This window comes from Homo sapiens, chromosome 5 (assembly GCF_000001405.40).
Source record: "Homo sapiens chromosome 5, GRCh38.p14 Primary Assembly".
NCBI classification, from domain to species: Eukaryota; Metazoa; Chordata; class Mammalia; order Primates; family Hominidae; genus Homo; species Homo sapiens.
Genome location: NC_000005.10, coordinates 21,043,008 through 21,058,353, shown reverse-complemented (window position 1 = coordinate 21,058,353; position 15,346 = coordinate 21,043,008). Strand labels below are relative to the sequence as shown.

General features: G+C 35.7%; 1 long non-coding RNA gene across 3 annotated transcripts in view; it reads left to right on the top strand.

The window, feature by feature from the left end:
- The window catches only part of LOC105374678 (uncharacterized), a 108,785-nt gene that overhangs the window by 58,357 nt on the left and 35,082 nt on the right, over positions 1-15,346 (top strand). For all 3 annotated transcript variants that reach the window (XR_001742406.2, XR_925838.3, XR_925839.3), the window contains one exon: positions 2,604-2,682. This is a non-coding gene — a long non-coding RNA (uncharacterized LOC105374678). The remainder of the gene's footprint in view (positions 1-2,603; positions 2,683-15,346) is intronic.

The following is a 15,346-nucleotide window of genomic DNA, read 5'->3' as shown; positions in this document are numbered from 1 at the left end:
CTCTCAATAAACTAGGTATTGAAGGAATATTCTTCAAAATAATAAGAGCATTATACGGAATGGGCAAAAGCTGGAAGCATTCCCCTTGAAAACCATCACAAATAAGAACGTCCTCTCTCACCCCTCCTATTCAACATAGTATCAGAAGTCTTGGCCAGAGCAATCAGGCAAGGGAAATAAATAAAAGACATCCAAATAGGAAAAGAGGAAGTCAAACTATCTTTGTTGGCAGACAATAACTATTGGGTACTTGGCTTAATTCCTGAGTAATAAAATAATATGGAAAACAAACCCTTGTGACATGAATTTACCTATATAACAAACCTTCACATATACCCTCAAACCTAAAATAAAAGTTAAAAAACTAAGCTGTAATTATGCTTTTTATTTCTAATTTAAGAGTTTCAGTACTCTAAATATAAAAATGTAAATAAAAATGACCCAAATTATGTACATTAAACTATTTACTGCTTCCAAATCTTATGCTTCTATTTCTCCAATATCTCTGATTATTCTATTATGATGTGAACACTGTTATTGAATCATTAACTGCATTTCAGAATGACTCTCATAGAGTAATCAATACTGTGTGAATGTGTCACAGGTACTATATTTATAATTATATGAGTAGAATTGCTAGTGACAGGAATAATTGGCTAACTACCACTTTTTGACCTCTGGCTGTAATCAATCAAAATCTTGATAAAGATAATAGTGCTATTTCTCAGGAAAGGCCATGTAAAATTTCCATCTGTTTTCCAGCTTCATAAAACACCAAATTCTAAAAGAATTTTTAAAAATTATTCACAAATGTGTACATTCTTTGCAGTTTCTAGTTTTGTCTTTATTTGAAGGAGACTACAGAATATAGAAAGGTATAAAATAAGAAACTCTGAATATATGATGACAAATTTCTCAAATACGTTTGAATAGATTATTTATAACACATCTTTGGTATTATAAGCAGCAAATGAAAATACCTTGCTAAGGCAATACATGATTCTTGAAAGAAATATTTTATCAAATTATTTGCTTGGTATTGGTACACTCAATGCAAATGTTGAATGAAAAACCACATAATATTTTTATGGATCTAGAGTTTTTTAACTGTTAAGACCAATACACATTAAAGAAACATTTTTTTTCTGTTTTGAAAAGTTAAAACTTCAACTTTTAATTCTAGTTAATGCAAATGGCAAACAGTTACTATACTATTATTTTGAATATAAGACAGATGGTGACTTGAATTTGTAACATCTCTGAACTTTTTTGGGTGAAAGGATTTGGAGAAATGATATAATTAAAGCAAATATTAATTACTTGAAGGAGACAAATAATTAAAATAGATATGCATGTGTGTTAGTGTATGGTCACAAATATTTAGGTAACATTAAGGCAATGAATGAAGCTATCTTTGATAAAATTTGAGGCAGATAGTTTTAGATAATAAATTTGTTTTAAGCTATCAGATACACACACTATGGAGGTACTGACAAATGAAAACATATTCACACAATCATCTAAATATACAAGCTACAAAACCTGGTTTAAGTGAACTTTTGTGTACTAATGAAATACCAGCTTCCTTGTTAGAGTAATATAAAGTGAAATATAAGTAACTAATTAAAATTATATTTATTGATATTTTATATATAATTTTTATATAAGTAAATAATTTATACATAATATACTAATGCAAATATACATTTAAATCTTGCATAATTACCCAGACTGATTTTATCATATATATAACATATATAAATGTCATGTATATATAAAATTTCTGAATTTATGTTTCTTAATTTGTATTTTACAAATTCTTACTGCCTTCACAAAGACATTAAACAAAGAAATATGTAAATATATATAAACTTTCACCTAAACTATAGGGCCCAGTTTTTTGTTTTCATAGCACTACCCTTTTAATAGGGAAATATAATGAAGTTAGTCCTGAAGATTCATTTAAACATGGCAGGAAAAAAAGAGTTAAATCTTATAGTTTTCTATTGTAAGAGAAGTGGGGATTGAACAAATATTAGAGCTGATGTAATTGATTTTGAATTTATGATATAAACAGAAAAGTAATTCCTTTGAGGATGTATGAATGTATATATGTCTGTAAAGTGTAGCTCTCAGTAAGTGCATTCCCGTGATTTTTTTTCAGGTGTAATGTTACATGGTTCACACATGTAGGATTAAAACATAAAAGAATATTAAATATAAAATCACTGAGCTGTTAGTAATGCAAAGTGGGTGTCTTTTAAGACTGAATTCCCAATGCTTTCAATTTAAAATGAAAATAGCATCTCAGAAGCCTTATTTCTGAACTGGAATAGAGATTAATGCAATTAAAATAAATTGGCTGGCATGGGTTAATTAATTTTTTTCTTACATTTCTGGATGAACCTTTTCTCAAGCACAGGTTATAATTTAAGCCAATATAACTCCTGATAAAAACATCCATATGCGAACCAAATTTTGACTACATAGTATTTACTCCTGTCATTTGCAGACCATTGGATCACTTTTCATATATCATTAATATAGTTCTCCATTACACTTTTCAAAATCCTTATTTAAATAATCCTATTTCTGTTTGGTAGACATCGAGTCATGAATATGGAATGACTTCACCTGACTTCACTTGAAATTCACTTAATTTTCAACTCTGTTGGCTATGAGGTGAGTAGGAAATAATTTTATACAAAATTGCTGTTCAGAGTATACTTCTGTACTGAGAGAAGCTCCCTAAATTATATCTTAAAAGATTTGTGATTTATTTTATAGTTTTATACAGAAGAGTGATTACTCCTTAAATTTCTCTTTTTTTGTATCTGTGTTATTGTGTATTAATTTTTTTTTTTTTTTTTTTTTTTGAGATGGAGTCTCACTCTTTCACCCAGGCTAGGGTGCAGTGGCGTGATCTCGGCTCACTGCAACCTCCACCTGCCAGGTTTAAACAATTCTCCTGCCTCAGCCTCCTGAGTAGCTGGGACTACAGGCACGCGCCACTACGCTTGATTAATTTTTGTATTTTTGTAGAGACAGGGTTTCACCTTGTTGGCCAGGCCGGTTTTGAGCTCCTGATCTTGTGGTCCACCAGCCTCAGTCTCCCAAAGGTTGTGTATTAATTTTACAGTTATCTGTGTGATCACCAATTGGTCAAGTTCCTTTATAAAAATATACATATGTATGTATCTATTTTATATATATATAATATGCCATTAATATAGCTATCAACATAACTGTAGTATATCCAAATTCATATAAACTCTCAAGTCATGTACCAATTAATACAGCTACCAACATAGCGGTAGTATATCCAGATGCATATAAACCCTCCAAAATATTGTTAAAATGAAAAACCTAATGAGTTTATATGCATCTGAATATCCTACTGCTATGTTGATAGTTATATTAATTGGTACATGATTTTCTTACATATAATTTAATTATGCAATACTACTATCAGAAATTTACCGTGTAGCAATGTCTATACATATGTGCCAAAATATACACATATATTATATATAACATACACATATAAATAATAAATTTAATTTTATTTATAATAGTAAAATTTGTATATCTCAGCAATAGGAAAATGTTTGATCACATTATTTAATATCCCTATTGTGGCTGATTTAAACAAGCTATAAATACAGATAGAAATATGGATATTAATTAATATATCTATAATCTCTTCTTTATTGAGTAAAGGCAATTTTCCAAAACTCTTTTGTAGTCAGATTTCAATAATATAAATACAACAAGAAAAAGGAAAAGTATGAGTTTTTGTATGAATATGATGTATGAATATCTTTTGTTTAAATTATACAGAATCTGAAATTGCCTTTTTAAATCACAAAAGAAATAACTCTTCCTCTCTGCTTATGTTCTATATTACATTCTTATGCTATCTATATTCTTAATCTAGATATGCAAAATCACGATAGGTGATTTTTCAAAGAGTGTTTTATGAAGCATATAGTATTTTTCCAAGATTGGTATTAAAATAATAGCTACCTCTCCCACTGACACACTTGCGTTATCTAAAACAAGATATTTCTTCTGCTCTCCAAGGGTTTAACTTTTAATACAAATTCATCCAAATATAAAATTGTCCTCGTTTCTCTTACCAATTTTCCCATTAGTATTTAAATATGCTAAGTATCTCCCAGTTCAAAAATAAAAATAAAATTAATTTTTTCCTTGATTTTCACAATCCTATATATCTCTCTTTTTCATTCTGCCTTTCAACACTCTTCTTACTGTCCTTCTTGGGTATAGCCTGTCCCCAGATATGAGGGTTCAGGGCCTTAGAATATCTTTCTCCTCTTCTCTGACTTCCTTTGGCATGCATTCCCATCCACTTCTTGACCTTCAGTCACTATCTCTTTGCAGATAGCTCCTCCATATTTGCCACCCAAATGTGTTCTTTATATTCTAAATACTGCATATAATTTCTTACTAGATATTATATCAACACCTCAACACTGATCATTACAAACCTAATTTAATATCATGAAACATTTGGCCTCAAATATCAGAATGAATGAACCTTCATAAAACAACACAGAATCCAAGCCAAAAATGTGAAAATAACTTAATCACACCTAATCTACACGAAGCCCTCTGAACATGTCAAACCTACCTTCTTAATATCTGTCTTACATGTTCAAGTCTCTGTCTCTGAAGAAACATCTACTTAATTCAGGTAACCATTGTTTTTTTTATCAGAGTTACCCAAAAAATTGTCTCCAAAATTCCCTCCCCCCAACTCATAGTTTACCTCAGTTCCCATCTCTGATTTATCCATTCTCCAAGCAGAAGCCTGAGGGATATTTGCATACCTTTGATAAAGCCACTTCTTTGCATGTGTCTGCTTCTAGGAGTCCTTGTTGACTCAGAGCTATGTCAAATCCTTTAATATGACAAGTTGTGCCTTCATGGTGTGCCACCATTTACTTTTCCAATCTCAGACAGATATTTACGTTCAACCAGGTTTCACTCTACTTTTGTCTTAACCAATGCTGAATCAAGTATGTATTATATTATTGCCTGCACTTATATTCTAATCCTCTCAGTCCTTTTAAATTAGAAAATTTAATTGAGCCAATCTCCACTGAAAAGGCTTTTCCAAACAAGCTAGGTTTGGTATCACTCCTGTGTACTTAAAATTCTGTTTCTCCCTATTATAATATCTGTCATACAGTATTGCAAGCACGTCTTCAGTTTTTAGTTTTCCTATTACAGGCCAGCAGACACCAAGTACAAAGTCTTGTTCATTTTAGAATAGATTTTATTGCCCAGCACAATTTCTGTTACAAAGTATGTGTTTATGAAATACTATTTCATTAAATGAATAAGTAAACGGAATAATGCATAAAAATAATGTTTGCCCTTTTCTGGATGTAAATCTAAAAGTTATAATGTCATAAAAACATTTTTCTGTAGGAAATATCACATCTTAATCTAATATGAGCATGTAAAGTAAACACTTAGCAGGATTTAGTTTAGCGAAAGTCATCCATATGATGTTATTTAAACATTTAATTTCATCTCATTTTAATTATGCATGTGGTGAGTGAAAAAAGCCCCTCACTGACACTTCTTTCATTCATTTATATAGTCCGTCTTCCCTTACCTTGAATCTGGGCTGGCCAGTGACTATCCTGACCAATAGAATATAAAAGAAGTGACATACTACCCATTCTAGTTGTAACATCCCCTGAATTAAGAAGAAAGCTTTAGGGCTGGTGCAATGGCTCACACTTGTAATCCCAGCACTTTGGGAGGCCTAGGCAGGTGGATGACTTGAGGTCAGGAGTTCGAGACCCGCCTAGCCAAAATACAAAAATTAGCCGGGTATGGTGGCGGGCAACTGTAATCCCAGCTACTAGGGAGGCTGAGGAAAGAGAATCGCTTGAACCTGGGAGGTGGAGGTTGCAGTGAGCCAAGATTGTGCCACTGCACTCTAGTCTGGGTGACAGAGCAAGACCCCTCTCAAAAAGAAAAGAAGAAGAAGAAAGCTTTAAAGCAGTTGGTATGTGATCCATATTTTCCCAGTGCTGGGGGCACAACTCAAAAGTTGAAATGAAAAGAAAGTATTTGATAAGATGGAGCCATACTACATTTAGAAAACTCTTATGTGGATAATGCTGGCTAAGGGTTATTTATAGCAAATAATGATCTTTGGGTTTATGAGACAGATCCCTAGAGAATGTCAAGTAAGACAAATAATCTCACCAAGTATGAACTGGAGATGTGTCATTACTCAAATGCTTGTTCTGTTGGTAGATATCCACAGTGAAGCAGTTGGAAACCAAATCTATTATTCTGACACAAGAGCACATGTCCGTTTGGGGAATATCAACCTGGGAAATAGTTCTTGATGTCCCAGACTTGTCTCTGCTTTGTCTGAGTGTCTTCGTTGCCTGAATTATTAATAACCATAATAATCTCAAGTTAAATTAACACCTAGAATTGTACAATTTTTTTTTTTTTTTTTTTTTTTTTTTTTTTTTTTTTTTTTTTTTTTTTTTTTTTTGAGACGGAGTCTCGCTCTGTCGCCCAGGCTGGAGTGCAGTGGCGCGATCTCCGCTCACTACAAGCTCCGCCTCCCGGGTTCACGCCATTCTCCTGCCTCAGCCTCCCGAGTAGCTGGGACTACAGGCGCCCGCTACCACGCCCGGCTAATTTTTTGTATTTTTAGTAGAGACGGGGTTTCACCGTGTTAGCCAGGATGGTCTCGGTCTCCTGACCTCGTGATCCACCCGCCTCGGCCTCCCAAAGTGCTGGGATTACAGGCGTGAGCCACCGCGCCCGGCCAGAATTGTACAATTTGACAATCGGATTTTTTGTTTGTTTGTTTGTTAGACATCATTGTATTAATCTGGTTTCTCCAGAGAAACAAAACCAGTTTACACACAGGCACGCACGCACACACACACACAGAGACAGAGAGAGAGAGAGACAGCAAAAGGGATTAACCATAAAAATTGGTTGATATGGCTGGGCACAGTGGCTCATGCCTGTAATTCCAGCACTTTGGGAGGCTGAGGCAGGAGGATCACTTGAGGTCAGGAGTTCGGAGACCAGCCTGGCCAACATGGTGAAACAATGTCTCTACTAAAAATACAAAAATTAGCTGAGCCGGGTGGCCATGCTTGTAGTCACACCCACCTAGGAGGCTGAGGCAGGAGAATTGCTTGAGTCCAGGAGGTCGAGGTTGTGGTGAATAGAGATCACGCCCCTGCACTCCAGCCTGGGCAACAGAGTGAGACTCTGTCTCAAAAAAAAAAGAAAAAGAAAAAGAAAAAGATAAAATAAATTTGCTGATACAATTATGGAGGCTGAGAAATCCAAGATCTACAGTTAGCAAGCTGTAGACCAAAACGAGCCTACGGAATAATTTCCATCTAAGTTTGAAGGCCTGAGAGCCAGGAGAGCCAATGGTGTAAGTTGTGATCTTAGTCTACGTTCAAAGGCAGGAGAAGACTAATGTCCTACTGTGAAGACCATCAGGCAGAAGGAAATAATTCTTTCTTAGGCAGCCTTTTATTTTATTCAGTCCTTCCATGGACCTTCCATGATTGAGGCACGTTCACATTAGGGAAGGCAATGACTTGACTCAGTCTACCATTCAAATGTTAATCTCATTCAGAAATACCCTCATACCCAGAAAAATGCTTAACCAAATATCTCATCATGCTGCAGCTCAGTCAAGTTGATACATAAAATTAACTGTCACAGTTACTGTTCCACAAAACTGTAGAATATTTTTTAAAATGGTTGTGATTTTAAGTATGTTTTGCATTGCATTTTTTTTAACATACTAATAGATAACCAGAAAAACAAAGAGAATAGTTTTCATTTTAATTGGGAAATACAGGAAGTAAAAGCAGCAGCCACTAGGTTAAGTATGAAAGTGGGGGATTCGGTGTTATGTAAGCAACGAAATCCCTTAACAAATGAAAATGATTTCATATTAAAACTTCAAATGTTTGAGTAATTTTTGAAAAACTGAGAACTGAGGCATGTATTCTGCTAAGTATATTTCCTGAAATAATGCAGTCAGCATTTATTAGGACATGCAGTTATTGATGGTAGCATTAAAAACAGGGCAAATTAAGGTGTATGGCCGGTTTTGTGCCACTGGTGTTTTCAAATAGAGGACAAATACAACATTTTAACAGAGTTCTACCAGCTGTGCTCACAAGATGAGTGCTCTGGCAATGTTCTCAGCACAGCACACACTCCAACGTGCTTATCTCCTCTCCTGCTGAAAGTAATGCTGCCTTTGCATACATACTTGAAATGTTACATAAGTGATATCTTATTTTTGAAAAAACAAATAGCAAACAATAGACTTCCTGCTATTTCCTGTGCAAATTAATATCTAGCTTAAAAAATCCACATCAAAAAGTCTATTTTTTTTTTTTGAGATGGACTCTTGCTCTGTCACCCAGGCTGGAGTGCAGTGGCACGATATCGGCTCACTGCAACCTCCGCCTCCTGGGTTCAAGTGATTCTCCTGCCTCAGCCTCTCAATTAGCTGGGATTACAGTCATGCACCACCACACCTGGGTGATTTTCGTATTTTTAGTAGAGACGAGGTTTCACCATGTTGGCCAGGCTGGTCTCGAACTCCTGACCTCAGGTGATCTGCTCGCCTTGGACTCCTAAAGTGCTAGAATTACAGACGTGAGCCACCGTGCCTGGCCAAAAAAATCTTATTTTAATAGGAAACTCTAATCTTTGGCCACAATCCAATATCTCATGAAAATTACCAATATATACTGATAAAGGAAAAGTTATTTTAGGAATACCTTCTACTATCTTATCAAAAACTCATGCAGGGTTGGATGCAGGGGACCATGAAGATTTTTCTTCAGGACTGAGCTCTTCATTGCCCCAGCTGCTGGGAGTATTGCCTGCTGACAGCTCACGATAGTGTCACTTTCCAGGAATTGGTTTTAGCTAAGGGAAATGTGAAGAAAAAAGCATGCTCCTTACCTCAGAGGTAGCCTATGTCCAATGGCTGGTCATGGTTGAAATAAAAGGCATGGTCCCTCTGCCTCGATTTGTAACATCTCCAAGAGGTAATTGGCCTTGGAATTCTCAGTAGGATTGGCTCAGGTCTTTGTGGCGACTTCATTGAAGCCTAACTTCTTTCTTTACCCAATCCTAACTCACTTTCCCCAAAAGCCACATGCAATCTTACTACCTGGTTTCCAGCTCCTCGGGAAACTTGAGCTACAGCAGCATTTATTTTAATTTCACAGGGAAAAACATCTGCATAGGGAAATCCTGGTGGAAGGCCACATATTTGTTCATTAACAGGCAGCATTTAACATGGTGAATTTTCTGTTTAGTACCATGTGATCCTTAACACTGAGGACTTAGAAATCTGATTTCTGTGTACACAGAGGAGATTCTTGTCTTTTTCTCTCAGAAGGAGATTCTTCTCAGATCATGGGGACCAAGGTCTTTGAGTTATTTTTTTCAGCAGAAGGTTTAATGATTATTCATTTGTTTGTCAATGGCCTTAGTCATATAACCTGTGGGAAGGGTTTATTTAAGAAAGGAATTAAATGATCTTAAGAGGATTATAAAATGCAGAAATATATCAAAAACGTATTCCAAAAACAATATATGTGAGGAAAGCACAAGTAATTTTGGTAGAGAAATGAAATAGAATCTGAAATAATACTGAAAATGTATATATCTTGGAAAAAACCTGTTCACTTATGTGCTTACAATGTATACGCATGCATTTAAATCAAAGTTTCCTTCCACTAATGAGAAATGGTAAGCAGTCTTTTACACTGTTTACACATGCGATAGTCTTCCTTTCTTCGATAACAAACAAATAGGACTAGGTGAAACATAGGTTAATAATATTTATCTCAATGAAGTATAGTGATAATGAAATAAGGAAACACATGCAAGGCACATAAAATGCAATAAAAATACTAGCTCTTGATACTTTTGCTGTTGTTATAGACATCATTATTACATTACTGTAGCATATTATATATATAGCATAGTAAAGCATTATTATTATAAAGCTGGTGCATTTTGTATTTTTAAAAAACAGATTTCAAGAAGACTGGATATTGGAGAGAATCATAATAAATGCAAGTATTGGACATTCAACTGTCTAGTTCCAACGTGCCACTATGGAATATGAAATAGCACCAAGATTCTCTTTAGAAAATTATTTTTAATTATTTATCAATCTTGAAAATAAACAATTTGGGCTTCAGAGTTCAATTTTTTTAATTTATTTATTTTTTTGCCTAGAACTTTCCCAAGTAGATGTAGCTAGGTATTATTTTTTGGTTTCTAACATTTTAAATAAAACAACTACACAATATCTAATGATGACCTCCTGAACCTTCCAAATACATATGAGACTTACTTATGTATTTCAACTTTTTTCTATGTCTTCTGACTTAGGAATACACACCCTAGGATCTTCAGTGTGTTCAGTTAGGTCACAGTCACGTCTTATTGATTTGGAAGTCAAACTGTTCATTTAATTTGACTGTGCAGCACCACATTTCTTTACACATCCAGACACAGCCTCCAAATATTTCTTACCTTGCTCTCTTTCCCAGACACTGACATATATGAACTATATTAACATTTTCTGTGCTCTATAGTCTCTGGTTAACCCATTCTGGCTTGCTCTACACAACACTCATTATTCTGGGTTCTGGTAACAGTTTCTTTCTTTCATCTTTTTGGGGCTATTTTTATGTTGGTAGTACCACATATGTTACAAGCTATAGATGTCTTTACATGTGGTGCTCTTATGCACAACTAACATTTTTAAAATAGACAATTAAAAAACTAATAACTCCAAACATTTTTTAAAGCACAAAACCTAGACATATCTTATTCAAACTGCTTAAAATTACAGTTGAAAAAAAAATCTGAAAAGCAGCCAGAGAAAAAATATGCATTACTAAAAGAGGAACATAAGAAAAAATTTTAGTAGACTGCTCATAGAAAATTAGTAAAGCCAGAAGACAAGTGAGTGTCATCTCTAAAATGCTAAAAGAACATAATAAGTAATGTTAGAATTGTATACCCCCGAAAAAATGTTTTTCAAAATCGAAGTCAAGATAAATACTTCTTTTCTTTTTTTTTTTTTAATTATACTTTAAGTTTTAGGGTACATGTGCACAATGTGCAGGTTTGTTACATATGTATACATGTGCCATGTTGGTGTGCTGCACCCATTAACTCCTCATTTACATTAGGCATATCTCCTAATGCTATCCCTCCCCGCTTCCCCCACCCCACAACAGGTCCCGGTGTGTGATGTTCCCCTTCCTGTGTCCATGTGTTCTCATTGTTCAATTCCCACCTATGAGTGAGAACATGCGGTGTTTGGCTTTTTGTCCTTGCAATAGTTTGCTGAGAATGATGGTTTCCAGCTTCATCCATGTCCCTACAAAGGACATTAACTCATCCTTTTTTATGGCTGCATAGTATTCCATGGTGTATTATGTGCCACATTTTCTTAATCCAGTCTATCATTGTTGGACATTTGGGTTGGTTCCAAGTCCTTGCTATTGTGAATAGTGCCACAATAAACATACTTGTGCATGTGTCTTTATAGCACCATGATTTATAATCCTTTGGGTATATACCCAGTAATGGGATGGCTGGGTTAAATGGTATTTCTAGTTCTAGATCCCTGAGGAATCACCACACTGACTTCCACAATGGTTGAACTAGTTTACAGTCCCACCAACAGTGTAAAAGTGTTGCTATTTCTCCACATCCTCTCCAGCACCTGTTGTTTCCTGACTTTTTAATGTTTGCCATTCTACCTTGTGTGAGATGGTATCTTATTGTGGTTTTGATTTGCATTTCTCTGATGGCCAGTGATGATGAGCATTTTTTCATGTGTCTTTTGGCTGCATAAATGTCTTCTTTTGAGAAGTGTCTGTTCATATCCTTCGCCCACTTGTTGATGGGGTTGTTTGCTTTTTTCTTGTAAATGTGTTTGAGTTCATTGTAGATTCTGGATATTAGCCCTTTGTCAGATGAGTAGATTGCAAAAATTTTCTCCCATTCTGTAGGTTGCCTGTTCACTCTGATGGTAGTTTCCTTTGCCATGCAGAAGCTCTTTAGTTTAATTAGATCCCATTTGTCAATTTTGGCTTTTGTTGCCATTGCTTTTGGTGTTTTAGACATGAAGTCCTTGCCCAAAATGTTTTTCAAAATGGAAGTCAAGATAAAGGCTTCTTAACACAAAACAAATCTGAGATAATTTATTATAGCACAAGTTATCTATAAAAAAGTTACAGAAAGTTTGATACACAACAGCAGACAGACACTTGGATCTACACACAAAAATATGGAGAGTTCCAGAAACGATAAATGAGGTAAAAATTAAATATGTATAATTTAAATTTTTAATTGCTCTGTAAATAATAACCATCCAGTTTAAAAAAATACAGCAATCCATGGTCGTTTAAGAGAATATGTAAAAGTAAAATGTATGCTGACTATAACAAAGATATTAAAACAGAATTTAGAAGTATATTGAAGAAATATTTTTACAAAGTATGCAAAGCAGTATAATATTATTTAAAATTTGATTGTAATGAATTAAAGTGGTACAATTTACACCCTAAGGCAATTATTAAAAAATTGCCAGGCTTAGAGTCTCATGCCTGTAATTCCAGCAGTTTGGGAGGCCACGGCAGGTGAATCACGAGGTCGGGAGTTCGAAACCAGCCTGGCCAAGATGGCGAAGCCCCATATCTACTAAAAATACAAAAAAATTAATTGAGCGTTGTGGTGGGCACCTGTATTCCCAGCTACTAGGGAGACTGAGGCAGGAGAATTGCTTGAATCTGGGAGGCAAAGCTTTCAGTGAGCCAAGATCACGCCACTGCACCCCAGCCCGGGTGACAAAGTGAGACTCCGTCTCCAAAAATAAATAAATAAATAAAAAGGAATATGAGTAGTGTTATTTTTAAAAAAATTTAGAAACTAGCATAAAAAGAGGAACAAAAAAAGGGGAGGTTCACCAAGTAGGAAAATAGCAAGTAGGAAAATAGGTTCACCAATTAGCAAAATAATAGATTTAAATTCAATGATACTGATATGGAAGGGAAGTGCTGAGAAGCAAAGGGCGTGGTCCCTTTAAATGATAAGGAAGGGGAAAAAGGCATGGTCCCTGGCTAGGGCTCCACCACCAGGCCTGTGCCCATAAGAGGTGAAGCCAGCTGGACTTCCTGGGTCAAGTGGGGACTTGGAGAACTTTTGTGTCCAGCTAAAGGTTTGTAAACACACCAATCAGCACTCTGTAAAAACGGACCAATCAGCACTCTATAAAATGGACCAATCAGCACTCTATAAAATGGACCAATCAGCAGTATGTGGGCGGGGTCAAATAAGGGAATAAAAGCAGTCCACCTGAGCCAGCAGCAGCAACCTGCTCAGCTCCCGTTCTACGATGTGGAAGCTTTGTTTTTTCGCTCTTCACAATAAATCTTGCCGCTGCTCACTCTTTGGGTCCACACTACTTTTAAGAGCTGTAACACTCACTGCGAGGGTCTGCAGCTTCACTCCTGAAGTCAGCAAGACCATGAACCCAGCAGGAGGAAGAAACTCTGGACACATCTGAGGGAACAAACTACGGACACACCATCTTTAAGAGCTGTAACACTCACTGTGAAGGTCCACGGCTTCATTCTTGAAGTCAGCAAGACCAAGAACCCACCGAAAGGAACCAGTTCCGGACACATCCATGGACCTAGGTGAGAAGAGGCATTTTTGTTTTTCTGCCCAAATGTTGCATTTCCCACGACCACCCTAGCCTGCCACGCCCCCATCCTGTGCCTGTAAAATCCCTGAGACCCTAGCAGGCAGACACATAGGCAGTTGGATATCTGAGAGAAGAACATTAGTGGAAGACTCTGGACACAAGTGGCTTGACATCTGGAGGAATGCACTGACAAGCACCAGCATGCAGGCCACTGCCTGGCAGAACCACGTGGAATTTGGCTGGGGCAGTCAAGAGGAGAACCCGGCCTGCTCAGCGCCTGACTCCAGGGAAAAACCTGCCCACTCCATCACTTTCTGGCTTCCCCCATCTGCTGAGAGCTACCCACACTCAATAAAACCTTGCAACTCATTCTCCAAGCCCACGTGTGATCAAATTCTTCTGGTACACCAAAGCAAGAACCCGGGATCCAGAAAGCCCTCTGTCTTTGAGACAAAGCAGAGGGTCTAATTGAGCTGGTTAACACAAGCCGCCTATGGACAGCAAAACTAAAAGAGCACAGGGTAGCACACGCCCACTGTGGCTTCAGAAGCTGTAAACATTCAGCCTTAGACACTGCCATGGGGTAGGAGCCCCACAACCTGTCCATCTGTATGCTCCCCTAGAGATTTGAGCAGGGAGGCACTGAAGAACCACTCTCTGTGTTGCAGGCTCCGCAAGGGGTACAAGGAAACTTTTCTCATTTCAGTACCAATAATTAAATTAACTATAAGTGATATAGACACCCCCACTTTGAAAAGTTTGTCAGATTAGATAACAAAGCAACACTTAACTAGTTTTCTTCTGTGAATATTAAATTCACTTACATATAAAGATGCAGATAAATTAATATCAAGCAGACAGAAATATATACCAAACAAATAATTAACAAACATATAGAAAACTGGGGTGACTATATTATTATCTAAAGTAGTTTTTAGATTATAATATATTAATAAGAATAAAAGTCATTACATAATAATAAAAGGATCAAGTCAAGAAGAAAACACAATATTTCTATTATTAGCTCTGAATCTCACAGAGCTTCAAAATGCATGAAATTTGACAGACTAACACTATTATGGTTGAAGCCTTCAATATACCTCTGTCAGTAATAAATCAAATAAGTAAACAGAATCTCATTGAGGATATATAAGATCTAAACTCTACAAAGAGAACTAAGTTACACTTATAGCGTGTTCTGCCCAACAAAAAGCAGAACACACATTTTTTTTTAATACACACTGGAACACCCATCATGATAGATCATTATTATTGTTATATATTTATGATAAGCCTAATTTCACATAAAATCACTGAAATTATATAAAAATATTCTCTGCCTATAATGAAAAGTAAACTAAAAATAAAAAACAAAATGCTACTTGGGAAATATCCACATATCTAAATTTAATGAAAAAACCCACACATCACAAATAACATAAGAGGTCAAAGAAGTCATAATGGAAATTATATTATATTTATAAGTGAATAAAAACAAAAGCATGAGATATTTTTAAAAATGTAGTTAGCATTTTACTTAATGATTTT